The sequence below is a fragment of the Homo sapiens genome, chromosome 3, assembly GCF_000001405.40.
Source record: "Homo sapiens chromosome 3, GRCh38.p14 Primary Assembly".
Classification (NCBI taxonomy): Eukaryota; Metazoa; Chordata; class Mammalia; order Primates; family Hominidae; genus Homo; species Homo sapiens.
Genome location: NC_000003.12, coordinates 171,992,440 through 172,012,234, shown reverse-complemented (window position 1 = coordinate 172,012,234; position 19,795 = coordinate 171,992,440). Strand labels below are relative to the sequence as shown.

At 39.2% G+C, this 19,795-nt stretch overlaps 1 annotated feature.

The window, feature by feature from the left end:
* Nucleotides 1,887-2,400: an enhancer, noted in NCBI's record as "NANOG hESC enhancer chr3:171727625-171728138 (GRCh37/hg19 assembly coordinates)". NCBI's record gives its function as "activates a minimal SCP1, AML or CMV promoter by ChIP-STARR-seq in primed H9 embryonic stem cells {active_cell/tissue: H9 hESC(primed)}" and the evidence as "EXISTENCE:reporter gene assay evidence [ECO:0000049][PMID:30033119]".

Here is a 19,795-nt window from a genome sequence, read left to right as displayed (position 1 = left end):
CAAATGACTTTAATCTCTCAATCCATCCCAAAGCAGTATTATTCCCACACCTAAGCCAATCAACTCTGTTTCTTTCCTGATGTCACACTCAAAGCCAAATCTATTTTCTTTTCTTTTCTTTTTTCTTCTTCTTCTTTTTTTTTTTTTTTTTTTTTTGAGACGGAGTCTTGCTCTGTCGCCCACGCTGGAGTGTAGTGGCACGATCTCGGCTCACTGGAACCACCACCTCCCCGGTTCACACCATTCTCCTGCCTCAGCCTCCCGAGTAGCTGGGACTACAGGCGCCCGCCACCACACCTGGCTAATTTTTTTATATTTTTAGTAGAGACGGGGTTTCACCGTGTTAACCAGGATGGTCTCGATTTCTGGACCTCATGATCTGCCCTCCTTGGCCTCCCAAAGTGCTGGGATTACAGGCGTGAGCCACTGCGCCCGGCCTTTTTAATTTTTTTTTTTTTTTTTTATACAGAGTCTCACTCTGTCACCGGGCTGGAGTGCAGTGACGCCGATCTTGGCTCACGACAACCTCCGCCTCCTGGGTTCAAGCGATTCTCCTGCCTCAGCCTCCAGAGTAGCTGGGATTACAGGCGCCCACCACTACGCCCAGCTATTTTTTTTGTATTTTTAGTAGAGACGGGGTTTCACCATGTTGGCCAGGTTGGTCTTGAACTGCTGACCTCGTGATTCTCCTGCCTTGGCCTCCCAAAGTGTTGGGATTACAGACATGAGCCACTGTGCCCGGCCAAATCTATTTTCTTAAAGCATTTGCATCAATTTGATCTCTTCTGTGTCGTGTCTGCCTGTATTTAACTTGACCTGGTCTATGATGCTTTATAGGCTGGTAAAAAATGCAATAGAGAACAATTTTGCCTAAAATATCTGAAAAATTGATTCAATTCTTAATTGTTTACCAGACGAGTCTCAGCTTTTGTCTCCTATATAATCATACTTCAGTTTAACTCCTTTCTCCCTCCACTGCAAATTAACATCTGAATTTTTGTAATATAATTTTTGCTTTTTTAATATTAGAAGTTTATTCCAAACTATACTTTCTTAAATTCCATAAACCTTTTACTGGGAATATTCTTTTAAACCAGATCATTGACATTGCCATATGTGAGCTCAGAAGTGATTTCCATTTTGCATTTGTTCTGTAATTTTTTCTTCAATTTATTTTGCATCTATTAAAAATATTTTGGCAAATACATACTAGTGGGCTAATTTTACCCAAAGTAAACACATCCTTACATTGGGCAATTGAGACTTCTCCCACCATCCCCATACCATACTGCCTAGAATTTCACCAATAAACACTCACTGCTTTGGGCTAAGTATTGCCTCTTCCTGCTGTTTTTCTTTCTTCAAGTATAAGTAACCTAGGGAAGTGTAGTACATTGGGAAGCAAAACTACAGTCAGAACATTCATATGACTTAAATTAATAGCTGACTAGAAATATTCAGAATAAAATAAGAGAACTAGAGCTGGAGATTTGCCTGATGAAAAGGGCATAGGAGGGGGTATGAAAAGCAAGTCTTACCTAATGCCTGGTTTTGCCCAAGGCCTCCCTTGTTTTTAGCTTTTTAAGTTTTTTTGTTGTTGTTGTTTGCTTTGTTTTGTTTAGTTTTCCTCAGTGAAGTGAGTTGTGTCCACTTGGTGTAGGCCATGTAAGACACTGTAATGGCAACATATCTGAGGAACAAGAGACCTGTCTTCTCTCTCTCTTTCTTTCAACAAATATTTATTGAATGCCTACTTCATGCCTGGCACTCTTCTAGGTACTGGGCATACAATAATAAAACAAATATCAGCCTGGGCGACAGAGCGAGACTCCGTCTCAAAAATAAAAAATAAAAAAAATAAAAAATAAAAAAACACAAATATTCTCACCCTGTGGAACTTACATTATTACAGAGAAGAGACATAATAAATAAACATAATAATAAGTAAATGAGATACTATCTTTGTAGGTGATATGTTCTAAAAGAAAAAGAAAAATAGAAGAGGTTCAGAGAAATCACACGTTACTGAGGTGTAAATGGGCAGTTTGCAATTGTGAACGAGGTTACTATAGATTCATTGAGAAGGGGTCTTTTGAACAGAAGAGGTGCTGTTAACCATGAGAATAACCAAGAGCAGAGGAGAGAGCCAATAAAAGGCCACATGGTGGGTGTGTGCCTGGCTTGTTCAAGGAATAGCAAAGAGATGATTGTATTTAGAGTGTAGTGAACAAAAGGTAGAGTCGTAGCAGATACAGTCAGGGGAAATGGGAGGCCAGCTGGTGAAAGGTTCTGTAGGCAGTGCCCAAGCATAACAGGGAGCTATTGCAGGCTTTGCAGCAGAGCCTGAGAATGGCATGATTTAAAGCAGTCACACTGAATAGTGCTTGAGAATAGCCTTTTAGGGGCAAGAGCAGACACAAGGAAACGATCACAGTAACCTAAGAGTAAGATATGGTGCCTAGGACAACTGTGGCACATGTAGAGGTGGTAGGAAGTGATAGGATTCTATATCCATTTTGAAGGTAGTGCAGACTAGATTTGTTGACATCTGTCTATGATCGTGTGTAAAAAAGGGAGACAGGATGATTCTAGTGCCCCAGGAACTACAAAGATGGTGTTGCCATGATCCAAGACAAGGAAGGCCGTGGGAGGAGCAAGATTATGGGGATATCACGAGTTCAGTTTTGGACAACAGATTCGGATGCTGATTGTGAGACATCTATTAGATACGATGAGTATTTCTGAATCTAACTTGTCTGATCTGAGGGAAGCCACTTAACATCGCTGGGCTTCAACTGTAAAATGAGAAATTTATACTAGAATTACTTCAAGGTCCCTCTAACATTTTTGGATTCCAAGTTTTTTACTTGGCTAGGATATTTTGGGGCTAATTTACATAATGGCTCGTGGGTGCTGTCACAGATTAAATCTGATTTTTATAATTTTAAATAGGGTGGTGAGGGTAGGCCTCATTGAAATGGTGACTTTTAAACAAAGGAGATAAAGTTAGCCTGAAGGTATCTAAGAAAGAGCATTTTGGGCAGAGAAAAGTGCCCATGCAAGGGTCCTGGGATGAAAGTGGCCTGTTCAAGCAGTAGCCCAATTTGATAAGTAAGTGTAGGTTAAAATATAAGGCACACGTACAACAGATGAAACCCATGAAGAGACCAAAACGTTTTTAATGAAGAGAAAAAATAGGCATTAAAAAGCTGTAAAGGATTCAAAAGCTAGTGGAATATCAAATAGCTATTAAAATTTTTTGATGATTCAAACATAAATGAATCAGAAACATAAGAAATACTTTTTCTCTTAAAGTGCTGTGAACAGAAATTCAGATAAAATTCTTGGCAAATATATTTTAGCTTTTTAACCCTTTCCTCTTCCTCAAAAAAGATCTGGATTTTGATATTTAACCCCATCTCTACTAAAAATACACAAAATTAGCCGGGTGTGGTGGCGCGCACCTGTAGTCCCAGCTACTCAGGAGGCTGAAGCAGGAGAAAGCCGAGAACCTGGGAGGCGGGAGCTTGCAGTGAGCTGAGATCGTGCCACTGCATTCCAGCCTGGGTGACAGGGCGCGACTCCGTCTCAAAAAAAAAAAAAAAAAAAAAAAGAATTGCAGTTTTCATAAACAATCTCAAATTTGGCAATAACATAATTTTTTTTTCTTTTTTTCTTTTCTTTTTTGAGATGGAGTCTCGCTGTGTCGCCCAGGTTGGAGTGCAGTGGCACAATCTCCACTCACTGCAACCTCTGCCTCCCAGGTTCACACCATTCTCCTGCCTCAGCCTCCTGAGTAGCTGGGACTACAGGCACCCACCACCATGCCCGGCTAATTTTTTTGTGTTTTTACTAGAGACAGGGTTTCACTGTGTTAGCCAGGATGGTCTCGATCTCCTGACCTTGTGATCTGCCCACCTCAGCCTCCCAAAGTGCTGGGATTACAGGCGTGAGCCACCACGCCTGGCCCATAATTTGGTTTATAAAGAAATAAATTGAATCAACAAATGGGGTAGCTACTAGAAATAATACCAATCAATCACAAAATAATGAACTTTTCAATTGTATGAACTCCTTTTTGATATAGTTAGGAGTTAAAAAAATTAAATGAAAGCAGGGAAGATATGTTATTTTCCAGGATTCTTACATTTCCTAAGATTTTGGAGGGGGAGGCAAATTATCTTCTTTTTTTCTGCTCCCTTAATTAAAATCTGTTGATGTCTAACATAAAGCCAGAAAAATTGGGATAGATACTCCCTTTACTTAGGTGAGATGTGAGACCCTTCCTAGCTTCCTGGTGCTGGAATAATTACAATGTTAAGTGGGAAAGAACAGAGAGGAGATTGGGCTGGGCTGAGTGGTGGTGAATGCCATGTGGGGAATGCTAGCTGAAGATAGTAACGGATCCAGGAAGATAGACTTAAAGCCTCTGATCATGGCCCTAGATAATAATAATAATAATAATAACAACAATAATAATAATAATAATAATAACTTACAGAGTGCTTACTATGTAGTGGACTACATTTCACATTTCGGTAACACTATCTGTCTTTCACTCTGACAAGTAAAATACATAGCAACGGGTCGAAAGATTTTTAGGATGAAAATGTATTCTGCTGCCTTGCACTTTCTACTGTTTCCAACAGCAGAATTTCACTGCCAGTTTTATTTTATTTTTTTACAAATAACTTATTCTATCTGGGAGCTTGTAAGATTTTTCTCTTTATCTTTGGGGGAAATAATAACAGGAATTCTTAAGGGAGCTTACTATGAGCCAGGAAATATTAAAAGATTTGACATATATTAATACATTTAATCATCACAGCAACACTTTCCTATTTCACAAGTGAGAAAACTGAGGAAAAGAAGTTGAGTAACCTGTTCAAGTTAAATAGTCTTCAGTGGAGATCAGGATAGCTGGTGAAAGGAAGAGACCACAGGGGATGAAACAAACAACATGTACAAGTGATTTTAAAGATATTGTGCTTCAGAGAATGCTGGAAATTTGAACAGAGAAATTGTGTCAAGGGTGATGGAGCTGCCTGAATACTAGTACCCTGATGTGTGTAGCAAAGGAGGGAATTAGTTGAAAGAAATTCTCTGGGCCCAAAGCAAAAAAACCATCCTGGGTTAGATCCTATCTCTTCTCTCCTAAAACTTACTTAGGAGGATGCAAAATCTTCCCCATGGCTTCTGTGGCGTTGCATGTAGACCTCTGTAAACACTTGTATGTTCTGTTTATTTTGTTTTGGTTGCCCAGCCCTTTGAATACTCTCCCTGTGTTTAGGGAATTCACAGCTCTTCCAGATCATGCCTTCCTGCACAAGCCATGGAGCCTTTCCAGCCTTTTTTTTTCTTTCTTTTTTTTTGAGACGGAGTTTTGCTCTTATGTCACCCAGGCTGGAGTGCAATGGCGCCATCTCAGCTCACTGCAACCTCCACCTCCCGGGTTCAAGCGATTCTCCACTTAGCCTCTGGAGTAGCTGGGATTATAGACGCTCGCCACCATGCCCAGTTAATTTTTGTATTTTTAGTAGAGATGGGGTTTTGCCATGTTGGCCAGGCTGGTCTCGAACTTCTGACCTCAGATGATCCACTAACCTAGGCCTCCCGAAATGCTGGGATTACAGGCATGAGACAACACACCCAGCCCCCAGCCCTACTTTTATCAGAGTGTAAACTACAGCAAATATGAATGGCTAAAGAGCTGGCGATGTTTAACTGGAGGTGAGGAGGCTTTACTGGAGGGGGTGGGTGAAGGACACCATTGATAGAGATCTCTCCAAATATTTGGAGAGCCGGCAAATGAAAGAAGGCTGTGACTTGAGAGTAGAAGTTGGGCAGAAAGAGTAGTTGGGGAAGAAAGAGAGAGAGAGAGATAGTCAAGCCAGTGGAGGGATAAATTTCAAGCACATTCTCTAAAACTATTGCTTTTGCAATAAAAAAAAATCAACTTTATTGAGGTATAGTTTACACACAATAAAAATGCACCTTTTTTTTTTTGAAACGGAGTTTCGCTCTTGTCACCCAGGCTGGAGTGCAATGGTGTGATCTTGGCTCACTGTAACCTCTGCCTTATGGGTTCAAGTGATTCTCCTGCCTCAGCGTCCCAAGTAGCTGGGATTACAAGCATGTGCCACCACGCCCGGCTAATTTTTTGTTTTGCTTTGTTTTGTTTTGTTTTGAGACAGTCTCTCTCTGTTGCCAGGCTGGAGTGCAGTGGCATGATCTCAGCTCACTGCAATCTCCGGCCCCTAGGTTCAAGCTATTCTCCTGCCTCAGCCTCCCGAGTAGCTGGGACTACATGCGCCACCACACCTGGCTAATTTTTGTATTTTAGCAGAGACGGTGTTTCACCATGTTGGCCAGGATGGTCTCGAACTCCTGACCTCAGGTGATCTACCCGCCTCGGCCTCCCAAAATGCTGGGATTACAGGCATGAGCCACTGCACCCAGCCAAAAATGCACCTATTTTAAGCATACATTTTCATGAATTTTGACAAATGAATACATCTATGTAACTGTTCCAAGATACAGCACGTTGCCATCACCCCGCAATGTTTCCTTTTGCTTCATTCCAGTAACCCACTCCTATCCCCAGTCCGAGGCAACCACTAACCTGATTTTGGTCTTTCTAGATTACTTTTGCCTTTTCTAAAATTTCTTGTAAATGTAATCATGCATTTTATGTCTGGCTCCTTTCACTCCGCATGTTTTAGAGATTTATCACTGTTATAGCATGTATCAATTATTCATTTCTATTCACTGTTCAGTTATACTCCATTGACTAGATATATCATTTTTTTTACCCACTCATTTGTTGATGGACAAAGCCTTTTTCCAAATTTTATCTTGCAGCTGCCATGGCCATTCATGTACAAATGTTTTTGAGGACATCAATTTTCATTTCTTTTGGGTAAATACTTATGAGTGAAATAGCTAGGTTACATAGTAAGTGCATATTTAACTTTTTTTTTTTTTTTTTTTAGGCAGAGTCTCCTACTGTTGCCCAGGCTGGAGCACAGTGGCGTGATCTTGGCTCACTGCAACCTCCACCTAGCGGGTTCAAGTGATTCTCCTGACTCAGCCTCCCAAGTAGCTGGGATTACAGGTGCCCGCCACCACGCCTGGCTCACTTTTTTGTATTTTTAGTAGAGACGGGGTTTCACTATGTTGGCCAGGCTGGTCTTGAACTCCTGACCCCAAGTGATCCGCCCACTTCAGCCTCCCAAAGTCCTGGGATTACAGGTGTGAGCCACTGCACCCAGCTGCATATTTAACTTTTTAAGAAACGGCAAAACTTTTTTCCAAAATGGGTGTGCTAGTTTACATTTTCACCGGCAATGTATGAGATTTCCAGTTGCTCCAAACCTTTGCTAACATTTAGTATTGTCTTTTTAAATTATAGCCCTTCTCATAGGTATATAGTGGTATATCATGGTTTTAACTTGCACTTGCCTAATGACTAATGATTTTGGATAGTCAACATTTTTTCTTAAACTTATTTGTTATTCATATAGCTTATTTGGTGAAGTGTCAGTTGAAATGTTATGCCTTTTCATGAGTGGTTTGTCTTCTTAATAAGTTGTGACGATTCTATTTTCTGCATAGAAGTTCTTTACCAGGGTGATGTTTTTCAACTATTTTCTCTAAAATCCATGGTTTGAATTTTATTTTCTTAATGATAATGATATCATTTTAAGATAAAAAGATTTTAATTTTGACAAAACAATTTATCAAACATTTTCTTTTATGGTTCATGCTTTTTGCATTCTATCTAAACACTGTCTTTGCCTAATTAAAGGTAACAAAGATTTTCTTGTACAAGTCTCATTACTTTAGCTCCTATACTTAGACCTAGATCTATTTGGAGCTAAATTTTAAATATGGTATAAAGTAAGGGTCAAGATTCATATTTTTGCAAATGGAAATCTAATTGTTCCATCATCATTTGTCAAAAGTACAATTATTTTATTATTGCATTATCTTGGATCAAATGATAGTTTATTTGTGAGCCTACCTTTGGACTCATTATTTTGTTCCATTGATTTCTATGTCTATCTTTATACTGGCACATCATCTTGATTAATGTAGCTTTATAGTAAATGTTGAAAATGGATAATGTGTCTCCCAAATTTGTTTTTCTTTCTCAATATAGTTTTTCTGTTTTAGATCTTTTGCATTTCCATACAAATTTTATAATCAGCTTGTCATCTTCAAAACAAAAAGTCTTTTGGGGTTTTGATTGGCATTACATTGAATCTATAGGTTAATTTGGGGAAAATTGTCATCATAATATTGATAAACAATTTAACACTGTATGTCTCTCTGATTATAAAGGTTTTCTTTAATTATTATTATTATTATTTTTTTGAGATAGAGCCTCACTCTATCCCCTAGGCTGGAGTGCAGTGGCACGATCTCAGCTCACTGCAACCTCTGCCTTTGGGGTTCAAGCAATTCTTCTGCCTCAGCCTCCTGAGTAGCTGGGACTACAGGCGCATGCCACCACGCTCAACTAATTTTTGTATTTTTAGTAGAGACGGGGTTTTACCATATTGGCCAGGCTGGTCTCGAACTACTGACCTCAGGTGATCCACCCGCCTCGGCCTCCCAAAGTGCTGGGATTACAGATATGAGCCACCGAGCCTGGCCCTCTTTAATTTTTTAATAGTTTTTTGCAGTTTTCTTTTTTCTTTTTTTTGAGATGGAGTCTTGCTCTGCGGCCCAGGCTAGAGTGCAGCGACGTGATCTCAGCTCACTGCAACCTCTGCCTCCCAGGTACAAGCGATTCTCCTTGAATCTCATCCTTCTGAGTAGCTGGGATTACAGGCATGCACCACCATGCCCAGCCAATTTTTATATTTTCAGTAGGGATGAGGTTTCACTGTGTTGGCCAGGCTGGCCTTGAACCGACCTCAACTGATCCATCTGCCTTGGCCTCCCAAAGTTCTGGGATTACAGGCATGAGTCAGTGCACCTGGCCTAATAGTCTTTTGTAGTTTTCAACGTACATGTCTAGTACACTTTTGTTCAAATTATCTTCAAATATATTATGTTTCTTATGCTGTAATCAGTGGTATTTTAAAACTTCAATTTCTAATTGTTAATAGTATTATAGTTGATTTTTTGTGTATTGACATTGTTTCCAGTAAACTTGCTAACCTCACTTATTAGAATTAATGTTGTTTTTGAAGATTTCTTAACATTTCCAGCTATACGATTGTGTTCTCTGTAAATAAACACAGCTTTAATTTTTCCTTTGCAATGTTTGCCTTTTATTTCTTTTTCTTTTTTTTTTTTTTTTTGGACTTAAATGACTCACTAGGACCTCCAGAATGATGTTGAATAGAAATGAAAGGAGAAGCCATCCTTGCTTTTTACTCAGTCTTAAGGGAAAAGCATATAATCTTCCATCATTTTAATGTTAGCCATAGGGTTTTACAGATGCTCATTTGTAAAAAGAAAAACAAAAACAGTTTTTGATGTCGCTGATTTCCTCTTTCATTTGTTTCTGCTATTAGCTTTATCACTGCTTTCTTTCTGTTTACTTTGGGTTTTATTACTTCTCTGTGTAGTTTCTTAAAGTACACTCTTAGATTATTTGAGCATTTAACGTTACACATTGGCCAGGCTCAGTGGCTCATGTCTCTAATACCAGCGATTTGAGAGGCTGAGGAAGGAGGATTCCTTGAGTTTAGGAGTTCAAAACCAGCCTGGGCAACATGACAAAACCCTGTCTCTACAAGAAAAAAAAATTAGAAAAATTAGCTAGGAGTGGTGGCACACACCTGTAGTCCCAGCTACTTGGGAGGCTGAGGTAGGAGGATCACCTGAGTCTGGGAGGCTGAGGCTGCAGTGATCTGTGTCAGTGCCATTGCACTCCAGCCTGGGTGACAGAGTGAGACCCTGTCTTAAAAAAAAAAAGTTACAAATTTCCCTCAGCATCCTCCTTTAGGTGTCCTCTACAAATTTTGGTATGTTGTGTTTTCATTTTTATTCAGTTTAAAATATATTGTGATTTTCTTTGTTTGTATTTATTTATTATATTTTTTCCCATAGGTTATTGGGGTAAAGGTGGTATTTCGTTACATGAGTAAGTTCTTTAGTGGTGATCTGTGAGATTTTGGTGCACCCATCACCCAAGCAGCATTCAATGCACCCCATTTGTAGTCTTTTATCCCTCGCCCCCCTCCCAACCTTCCCCCCAAGTCCCCAAAGTCCACTGTATCATTCTTATGCTTTTGCATCCTCATAGCTTAGCTTCCACGTATCAGTGAGAACATAAAATGTTTGTTTTCCATTCCTGAGTTACTTCACTTAGAATAATAGTCTCCAGTCTCATCCAGGTTGCTGCAAATGCTGTTAATTCATTCCTTTTTTATGGCTGAGTAGTATTCCATCATATATATGTATACCACAGTTTCTTTATCCACTCATTGATTGATGGGCAGTTGGATTGGTTCCACTCTAATTACCTCTGTGTTTTTTTCTGTGAGTTATTTGGAAATGTATTGTTTATTGTTTAATTTCTAAATACTGGGTGAGTTTCCAGAAATATTTTTCTTATTGACTTCTAATTTAATTTTGTTTGGGTTTAGAATATATAGTGTATGTTTTCAATGCCTTTAAACTTACTGAGACTTCTTTTAAGACAGAACATTATCTATCTTTGTGAATGTTCTATCAGCATTTAAAAAGAATGTGTATTTTATTGTTGTTAGTGGAGTGTTAAACGTGATGTTAGTGTTGTTCAAGTTGTGAGTGTTGCAGTGCTGTCTGCTTATTCTGTCCAATACTGAAAGAGGAGTTTTGAGCACTGTAATTGTAGATGTGTCTTTTTTTCCTTTCCATCTAATTAATTTTTACTTCATGTGTTTTGAATCTCTATTTTTAAGTGCATGAATATTTCGGGTTGTTACGTTTTCTTCAAGAATTAACCCTGTAATAATTATAAAATGTACTTTTTAGTGTCTGTTAATATTCACTGTTTTGAATTCTAATTTGTCTAATATATAGAGCCATTTCAACTATTTTTTATTAGTTAGTATACTATATGGTTTTTAAAAAAATTCTGTTCAAAATTATCTATGTCTTTATATTTAAAATGGGTTTATTGTAGGTGGCATATTTTTGAGTCTTGCTTTTTAAATTTTTTTATTGTGGTAAAATATATATAATATAAAATTTGCCATTTTCACCATTTTAAGTGTACAATTTAGTAAAAATAACTTCATTCACATTGTTGTGCAATCATCACCACTATTCATTTCCAGAACTTTTTCACCATCCTGAACTGAAACTCTGTACCTATTAAGCAATAACTCCTCCTCACTCTCTCCAACCCTCAGCCCCAGTAACCTCTATTCTACCTTCTGTCTCTATGATTTTGCCTATTCTAGGTATCTCATATACAGGGAATATTTGTCCTTTTGTGTCTGGCTTATCTCACTTAACATAATGTATTCAAGGTTCATCCGCTGGGTGCGGAGGCTCACGCCTGTAATCCCAGCACTTTGGAAGGCCGAGGAAGGCAGATCATCTGAGTTTAGGAGTTCGAGACCAGCCTGGCCAACATGGTGAAACCCTACCTCTACTAAAAATACAAAAATTAGCTGGGCATGGTGGCAGGCACCTGTAATCCCAGCTACTCGGGAGGCTGAGACAGGAGAATCATTTGAACCCGGGAGGTGGAGGTTGCAGTGAGCCGAGATCACACCACTGCACTCCAGTCTGGGTGACAGAGTGAGATGCTGTCTCAAAATAAAAAAAAAAAAGCTGTTCATCCAGGTCATAGTAAGTACCAGAATGTCATTCCTCTTTATAGTTAAATAATATTCCATGGTATATATAATATATAAATATATATAATATTGTATACATACTATATATATATAAAACATTTATAAAAAAATCAATTGGATTGTTTCGGTCAGCCAAACCTACAGTAGAGTAACCCAAAAGTGGCAGCAGGAAAGTTCCCACAAGTGAGTGTCCCAAACTGGCCAGTTAAAATTTCAAAGAAAGAAGCATTAAATGCCAGAGAGTAATCAGTCTAAAGCATTTATTAGGGGAACTTACCTCGGAAGGAAGCTATAGCATATATTTTGTTTTGTTTTGTTTTGTTTTGAGACTGAGTTTCGCTCTTGTTGCCCAGGCTGGAGTGTAGTGGCACGATCTTGGGTCACTGCAACCTCAGCCTCCTTGGTTCAAGCGATTCTCATGCCTCAGCCTCCCATGTAGCTGGGATTACAGGCATGCGCCATCACGCCCAGCTAATTTTGTATTTTTAGTAGAGACAGAGTTTCTCCATCTTGGTCAGGCTGGTCTTGAACTCCCAACCTCAGGTGATCTATCCTCCTCGGCCTCCCAAAGTGCTGGGATTACAGGTGTGAGCCACAGCGCCCAGCCAGCTACAGTATATTCTTATGACAGACAGTGAGACAAAGGATGTCCTGCCTAGGTAGGACATGTTTGCCATGAAGAGGGTGGGTTATGGAGTTATATGAGAGTTTAAGGAACCTGGCTCAAGGTGAGGGCTAGTTTTCTTTGTGTTTAACATTAGTCTCTCAGTGTTGTTGAACATCAACTAAACAGTTTCAACAGGGAACGATCAAGGCCCTTGCTTGGGTTTGAGCCTACAGGGGACCACATGCTGCTGGTTGACTCTCAGAGCTGTCAGGGCACTCTATTCTCGTCCAGGACAGAGAAAATAGTGGGGGGAACTAAGGAACCCTAACTGGGATTTGCTTTTTTAGCCTCTTTGACAATTTCTGCTTTTTATTTGGAGTGTTTGTGGGAGGTGACAGCATGCTGGCAGTCCTTAGAGCCCTCGGTTGCTCTCGGCACCTTCCCTGCCTGGGCTCCCACTTTGGTGGCATTTGAGGAGCCCTTCAGCCCCCCACTGCACTGTGGGAGCCCCTTTCTGGGCTGGCCAAGGCTGGAGCCCACTCCCTCAGCTTGCAGGGAGGTGTAGAGGCAGAGGCGTGAGCAGGAACCGGGGCTGCGTTCGGCGCTTGCGGGCCAGCTGGAGTTCCGGGTGGGCGTGGGCTTGGTGGGCCCCGCACTCGGAGCAGCCAGCCAGCCCTGCTGGCCCCGGGCAATGAGGGACTTAGCACCCGGGCCAGTGGCTGCGGAGGGTGTACTGGGTCCCCCAGCAGTGCCGGCCCACCGGCGCTGTGCTCGATTTCTCGCCGGGCCTTAGCTGCCTTCCCGCGGGGCAGGGCTCGGGACCTGCAGCCCGCCATGCCTGAGCCTCCCCCCCACTCCATGGGCTCCTGTGCGGCCCGAGCCTCCCCGACGAGCACCACCCCTTGCTCCACGGCGCCCAGTCCCATCGACCACCCAAGGGCTGAGGAATGCGAGCGCACGGTGCAGGACTGGCAGGCAGCTCCACCTGCAGCCCCAGTGTGGGATCCGCTAGGTGAAGCCAGCTGGGCTCCTGAGTCTGGTGGGGACGTGGAGAGTCTTTATATCTAGCTCAGGGATTGTAAATACACCAATCAGCACCCTATGTTTAGCTCAAGGTTTGTGAGTGCACCAATCCACACTCTGTATCTAGCTGCTCTGGTGGGGCCTTGGAGAACCTTTATGTCTAGCTCAGGGATTGTAAACACACCAATCAGCACCCTGTGTTTAGCTCAAGGTTTGTGAGTGCACCAATCGACACTCTGTATCTAGCTGCTCTGGTGGGGCCTTGGAGAAACTGTGTGTCGAAACTCTGTATCTAACTAATCTGATGGGGACGCAGAGAACTTTTGTATCTAGCTCAGGGATTGTAAACACACCAATCAGCGCCCTGACAAAACAGGCCACTCGGCTCTACCAATCAGCAGGATGTGGGTGGGGCCAGATAAGAGAATAAAAGCAGGCTGCCGGAGCCAGCATTGGCAACCTGCTGGGGTCCCCTTCCACACTGTGGAAGTTTTGTTCTTTCACTCTTTGCAATAAATCTTGCTACTGCTCACTCTTTGGGTCCACGCTGCTTTTATGAGCTGTAACACTCACCACGAGGGTCCGAGGCTTCATTCTTGAAGTCAGTGAGACCAAGAACCCACCAATTCCGGACACATTTGGACTATTTACTTTTAATGTAATTATCAATACAGTCGGTTTAAATCTACCATTTTGTTGTTGGTTTTCTATTTGTTTCATTTGTTCTCTCTTCCTTTTTTTCACCTCTTCAGGATTATTTTGGATTCACTACTTTTTTTAGAGTGTCGTTTTACCACTACTATTGGCCTATTACCTGTATCTCTTTTTTTTAATGGCATTTCTCTAGGATTTACAATATGCATCTTTAGCTTATAGTATCTTGAAATAGTAGTGTAACACTTCACAAATAGAGTAAAAACCTTATAATCTTCCATTTTTCCCTTCCTTCTTTTGTGCTATTGATGACACATATTTACTCCTACAGATATTATAAACAAATTGATATACACACATTATCATTTTTGCTTTACATACTCAATTATCTTTTAAATAAAATAAAAATTGAGGAGAAAATCCGTTATATTATCTACACATTTACTGTTTCCAGCACTTTTCATTTCTTTGTGTAGATTCAAATTTCTGTCATCTTCCCTTTGCCCAAAGAACTTCTTTTCATCTTTCTTATAGTTCAGGTCTGCTGGCAACCAATTAGCTCAGCCTTTGTTTTGCTAAAAAAGTTCATATATTATCTTGATTTTCAAATGGTATTTATGCTCTATATAGAATTCTTAGTTGACTTTAATTCCTTCATCATTGGAAGATGTCATAATGGCTTGCAAAGACTAGAAATCTGCTTACATTTTTTTATTTGTTATCTTTCTTACTCATGTATCCTTTTTCCTCAGTCTGCTTTAACTTTTTAAATCACTGGTTTTCTGTAATTGGATTATGTTGTTCTTTGGTACATCTTTAAAATATTTATTCTGCTTTTGGTTCATTGACCTTCTCGTACCTGTGGATTTATAGTTTTCATCAACTTTGGAAAAGTTTTGGCTGGCAAAATTATACATACGTTAGACCGGTTGTTATTGTCCCACAAGGCACTAAGGATTTTTTTTTTTTTAAGTTTTTTTCTCTCTCTCTGCTTCATGTTGTATTATTTCTGTTGCAGTCACCAAGCTCACTAATTTTTTCTTCTGCAGTATCTAATCTGTTGTTAATCCTATTAGGTGAAATTTTTACTTAAAATATTATATTTTTCATCTTCAGAAGTGCTGAGACTTTTAAAATATTTTTCTTTTCTTCCTTCCTTATATTTATGTTCTCCTATATCTTTGTGAGCACATACTTATAATAGCTATAATACATGTCTGCTAATTCCATTATCTCTGTCATTTTTGGGTTCCATTTACTAAATTTTTGCTCGGTTATGGGTCACATTTTCCTACTTTCTGCATGTCTGATGATTTTTAAAAATTGGATTAAGATTGTGTGTTTTACATTGTTTAGTGCTGGATTTTGTTGTACTCTTTTAATGAGTGTTAAGACTTTTTCGTGAGCAGTTAGCTTTTGAAGGTTACTTTTGATCTCTTGTGAGGCCTGTTTCTAAACTCTTTTAGGGAGGTTTTAGAATGGTAAATTCTAGAGCTAATTTAGTCCCACTTCTAAGGCATAACACTTTTCAAGTCTCTACTGAATGGCTAAGTATTCAACAAGATTTTTTCACTTTGAATGAAGGAAACTCCATCCACAAAGGTTTTTGATCCTGTGTGATTTCTGGGAATTGTTCATTTTACAGTTTCTCAGTAATTAGTCTTTTCTCAGAAGATTTTCTTGCCCAACAAAGAGTTTCACATTACACATACAGAAATTGATAGTCACAAAAAATTCAAGGGGACTCTCATGCAGATTTCTAGACCCCTTCTGCTGCTTAGCTCTCTCTCTATTGAACTCTGCCCTTAAGTTATAGCTACTTTGGCCTACTCATACTGATCTTTGTTTCCTCAACTGAACAAGACTCTGACTTCATTTTCTTTTGGCTATTTCTTGGAATTTTCCTCAAGGCAGTACTCTAGGATAATGATAGAGATTCAGGAATTCAGTTCTGCATCGCCTTATATCTAATATCTGAAAATTGTCCTTTCATATATTTTGCCTTATTTTCTAGTTGTTTATGGTAGGCAAGTGATTCTTGTATCAGTTTATCCTTCACAGGTAGATGCAGAAGTTCCCTTTGCAAAAATTTAAAAGCCATTATATTGATATGGCAGATAAGACTGATGAAAAAACATTAGAGGAAGCCCTGTGAAAGAAGAGATTGAAACATCTGAGGGCAATTTGTGTAATACCTTGAAATTAAAGTCAAAGACAGCATCCTTTTGAGTACTATCCACCCTCACTCCCAGTTTCCCCCACCAATTGTTAAGGCTCCCTTCCTCTGCCAGCTCTGGGTCACTTTTAAGGCCTTTTATAACTTAAATATTCTGTTTTTTAAATGCTTTTGGGTTTAAGAAAAAAATAGATGGCTAAATAACATCTTGCTATTTACAAAGATTAATGGGGTCCTCCAAGGTCATTTATCTTCATGGTGGTTTTTCCCTCTACAGAGCTGTACAACATCCTGTAGAATTTATGCTACTGTGTACTTAGTGAAGACATTCCACAATTATTTTGAAGCTCAAGAAGCCATAGCTAAAAGCAATTAAAAATTGATCTGAACACAGTAATAGTAAAATCTATAAAGATTTCTGATTTTCCCCTTAGTATATCATATTGCCAGAGTTTTTGGATCTCTCATTCTACAAATGCCTATTTAGATTTTGTGATTTGGTAAAAGTTAGTATCCATTAAGCATAAATCCCCTTGTTGTAAGGCAAACATCCTTTTCCTATAAACATAAACTGGAAAACAGCAAGAGAGATTTTCTCCCTCAGTGTTTGTGCTGATGGGAGTGCTGTGGTTTTTTGCTATGTTCACAAGCTGACAAACAGGACAGTACATTTTTTGCATTGTTTCAGGCCATGTAAATTTTTCTAAACACATGGCTAATGCTTGCCAAGCCTCAGCCAATAACACTGACATTTTCTTCATCCACAAAGCTTACCACATGGATTACATCTATGCATTACTCACACAACATAATCATTGGCCCATATGCCAGAAGGAAATACAATTTTACAGTTGCCTCTAAAGCACACATTTCCAGCTTTGGTTCCACATGTAAGACAGATTTGCAGCTTGCATTTTCTTACACTCAGCCCAACACATTCAACTCAAGCAGAAGTATATGTTCCATAAGCCAGTTTTTTGTTGTAGAAAACTCTTGTTTCTTTTCTGACAATCTGTCACCTATTAAAAAAAAAAAAAAGAGCAACACGCACTGTTTGCATTGTTAAACTTAAAACAAGTCCAGAGGAAAATGTGCCTTGGAAATCCTTCACTGACTTGTTTTTGTAGAACAGCTGGAGGTGAGGCCCACCATACTAATCACGTCCAGTTGCTGCTGGTCAAGTTGCACATTCAGGAAATTCATAATTAGGTGGTTATATCCCCTCAGTTTACCCCAAAGAACTCTTTATGACTCTCGATTTATCTTTTTCCTTGTTATTCAAAAGAACCAAAAAATAAAGGTGACATGAGAGGGAAAAAGACATTAAAATTGAATTGTAGTGTTACCTGTAAAAGAAACCACATTGTCTTGACTGCCACCCCCTCTTAAAAATAAAAATAGTCACAGCATGTATATAGCTTAGTATGTGTGTGTGGTAGTTCTCAGAAACATTAAAAATTGTGCACATGTACCCTAAAACTTAAAGTATAATAAAAAAAATGTAGAGAGGGTTTTCTCCTTAAAAATTATGCTCTGGAAAATTCATCTGCTTCTGTTGTGATTTCAAAGGGTGTGGCTTTAATAAGATCAACTGGTATTACCTGGACTTCAAAGATTTTCAACACTTCATGTAAATTGTGTACATTTCCTTATTCTCTCTGCTTCTCTCTCCTTCTCCAACTTGGCAATATTCAATAATTATTATAGTGTTGTAATTTGTACCTTGAGTGTTTGTCAATCTCTTGTTGATTTTTAACAAGATTCTGAGTTCGATATCTAAGGTGTGGCTTTTAATGCATATTTCAGACCAGCAGCATTTCTTGAACTTTTAAATTCTGTTTTTTTTTTTTTTTTTGAGATGAAATTTCGCTCTTGTTGCCCTGGCTGGAGTGCGATGGTGCCATCTTGGCTCACTGCAACCTCCGCCTCCTGGGTTCAAGCGATTCTCCTGTCCCAGCTTCCCGAGTAGCTGGGACCACAGGCATGCGCCACCACTCCTGGCTAGTTTTTGTATTTTCAGCAGAGACGGGGTTTCTCCATGCTGGACAGAGTTGTAAATGGGACCACAATCTAGCTGTTCTTCATTTTTTTTCCCAAAAGCAAATTTAAAATGTTAATTTATATATTAAAAACAAGACTTTTACACATAGCAACAATTATTTCCATAGATTTTCCTCTAAAAATGTCGTTATGTGAATTATAGGTGCATTTTAGGCTCCAATTTCAAATTTTACAGCTTTTGAATGTAAAGTTCAATAGTGAAGAAAATGGTTACGCTTGAAATCCAACTAGTAGCCTGGAAACTGGATGCAAGAAATATTTCAAAGCTTAGAGAGAAAGAAAGTAAAGCATGAGTAGAGAGATGCAGGAGGGGTTTAAGAGAACCGACATGCAAACAATAGGCGTTCCAGAAGGAAAAAATGATGTGCACGAAGAAGAAAATGAAGCATGAAAACAAACGAAATGAAGATTTACCTGGACTGAAGAAAAGATGCCAAGTTTCAGGCAGAAATGTTGAGAAAGGATTATATATATACATGCACTATGGCTATATATATCCTAATAAAATTTTTGTACTCCAAAGATAAAGACAAACAATCTCATTCTTTCTGAGTATAAGCTTGTAAGTTATTTATAAAAGAAAAGAAATTAGACTGGTACTGAAATTTCTCCTTTGCAACATTGGAAGCTAGAAGTCAGTGGAGTACGTTTTCGACTCCAAGATATATTTCACCTGTAAGGGTGAAAGAATGATATTTGAAGGTTTGTAAGGATTCAGAGAAGTCATGAACCTTACTCAACTGGGAAAAATATTAGAAAAAAAACTTCATAAAAGCAACAACTAATAAAAAGAAGAAGAGCGAAAGCCGTAATGAGCAATGAATTTTTGATAACTAATTAAAAAAAATGGACAATGATATGCTGGGAGTGTGTAACATAAGTACTAAACAAAGACTCTAGAAATAGAGGAGCATATAAAAGGAAAGTTCTAATAAAAACTTTGGATTTAAAGAATTAAACCACCTCAGTAGAATTGAAGAATTGTAGTAAGGAGGGATATGAGAAAAAAGGAAGCAAAAATATTCCAAAGCCTTCACCTGTTTGGAGGTGAGAGAGGAGAGAATTGCAATAAAAAGTCTTCTTTAAGCTGTAAGTTATGGGTGGGGAGAGCAGTGGAGTAATACAATTTCCCAGTAGGGGAAAAGTTGGTGTCTTATTTTCATATAATAAAATACATGTTTGATTATATGTGAGAGCTGGGAAAGGGCAGGTAACAATAAAATGTAAAAATGTAAACAGTAAAATCTCAAAGCAAGTTTGGTGCTATTAATGTCATAAAACTTAAATTTAATGGAATTTAAAATTAAAATATCTAAACCGAGGCTGGGTGCAGTGGCTCACACGTGTGATCCCAACACTGTGGGAGGCCAAGGCAGGAGGATCCCTTGACCTCAGGAGTTTAAGACTGGGGAATATAGTGAGCCTTTGCCTATACAAAAACATTAAAAATTAGCTGGGTGTTGTGGC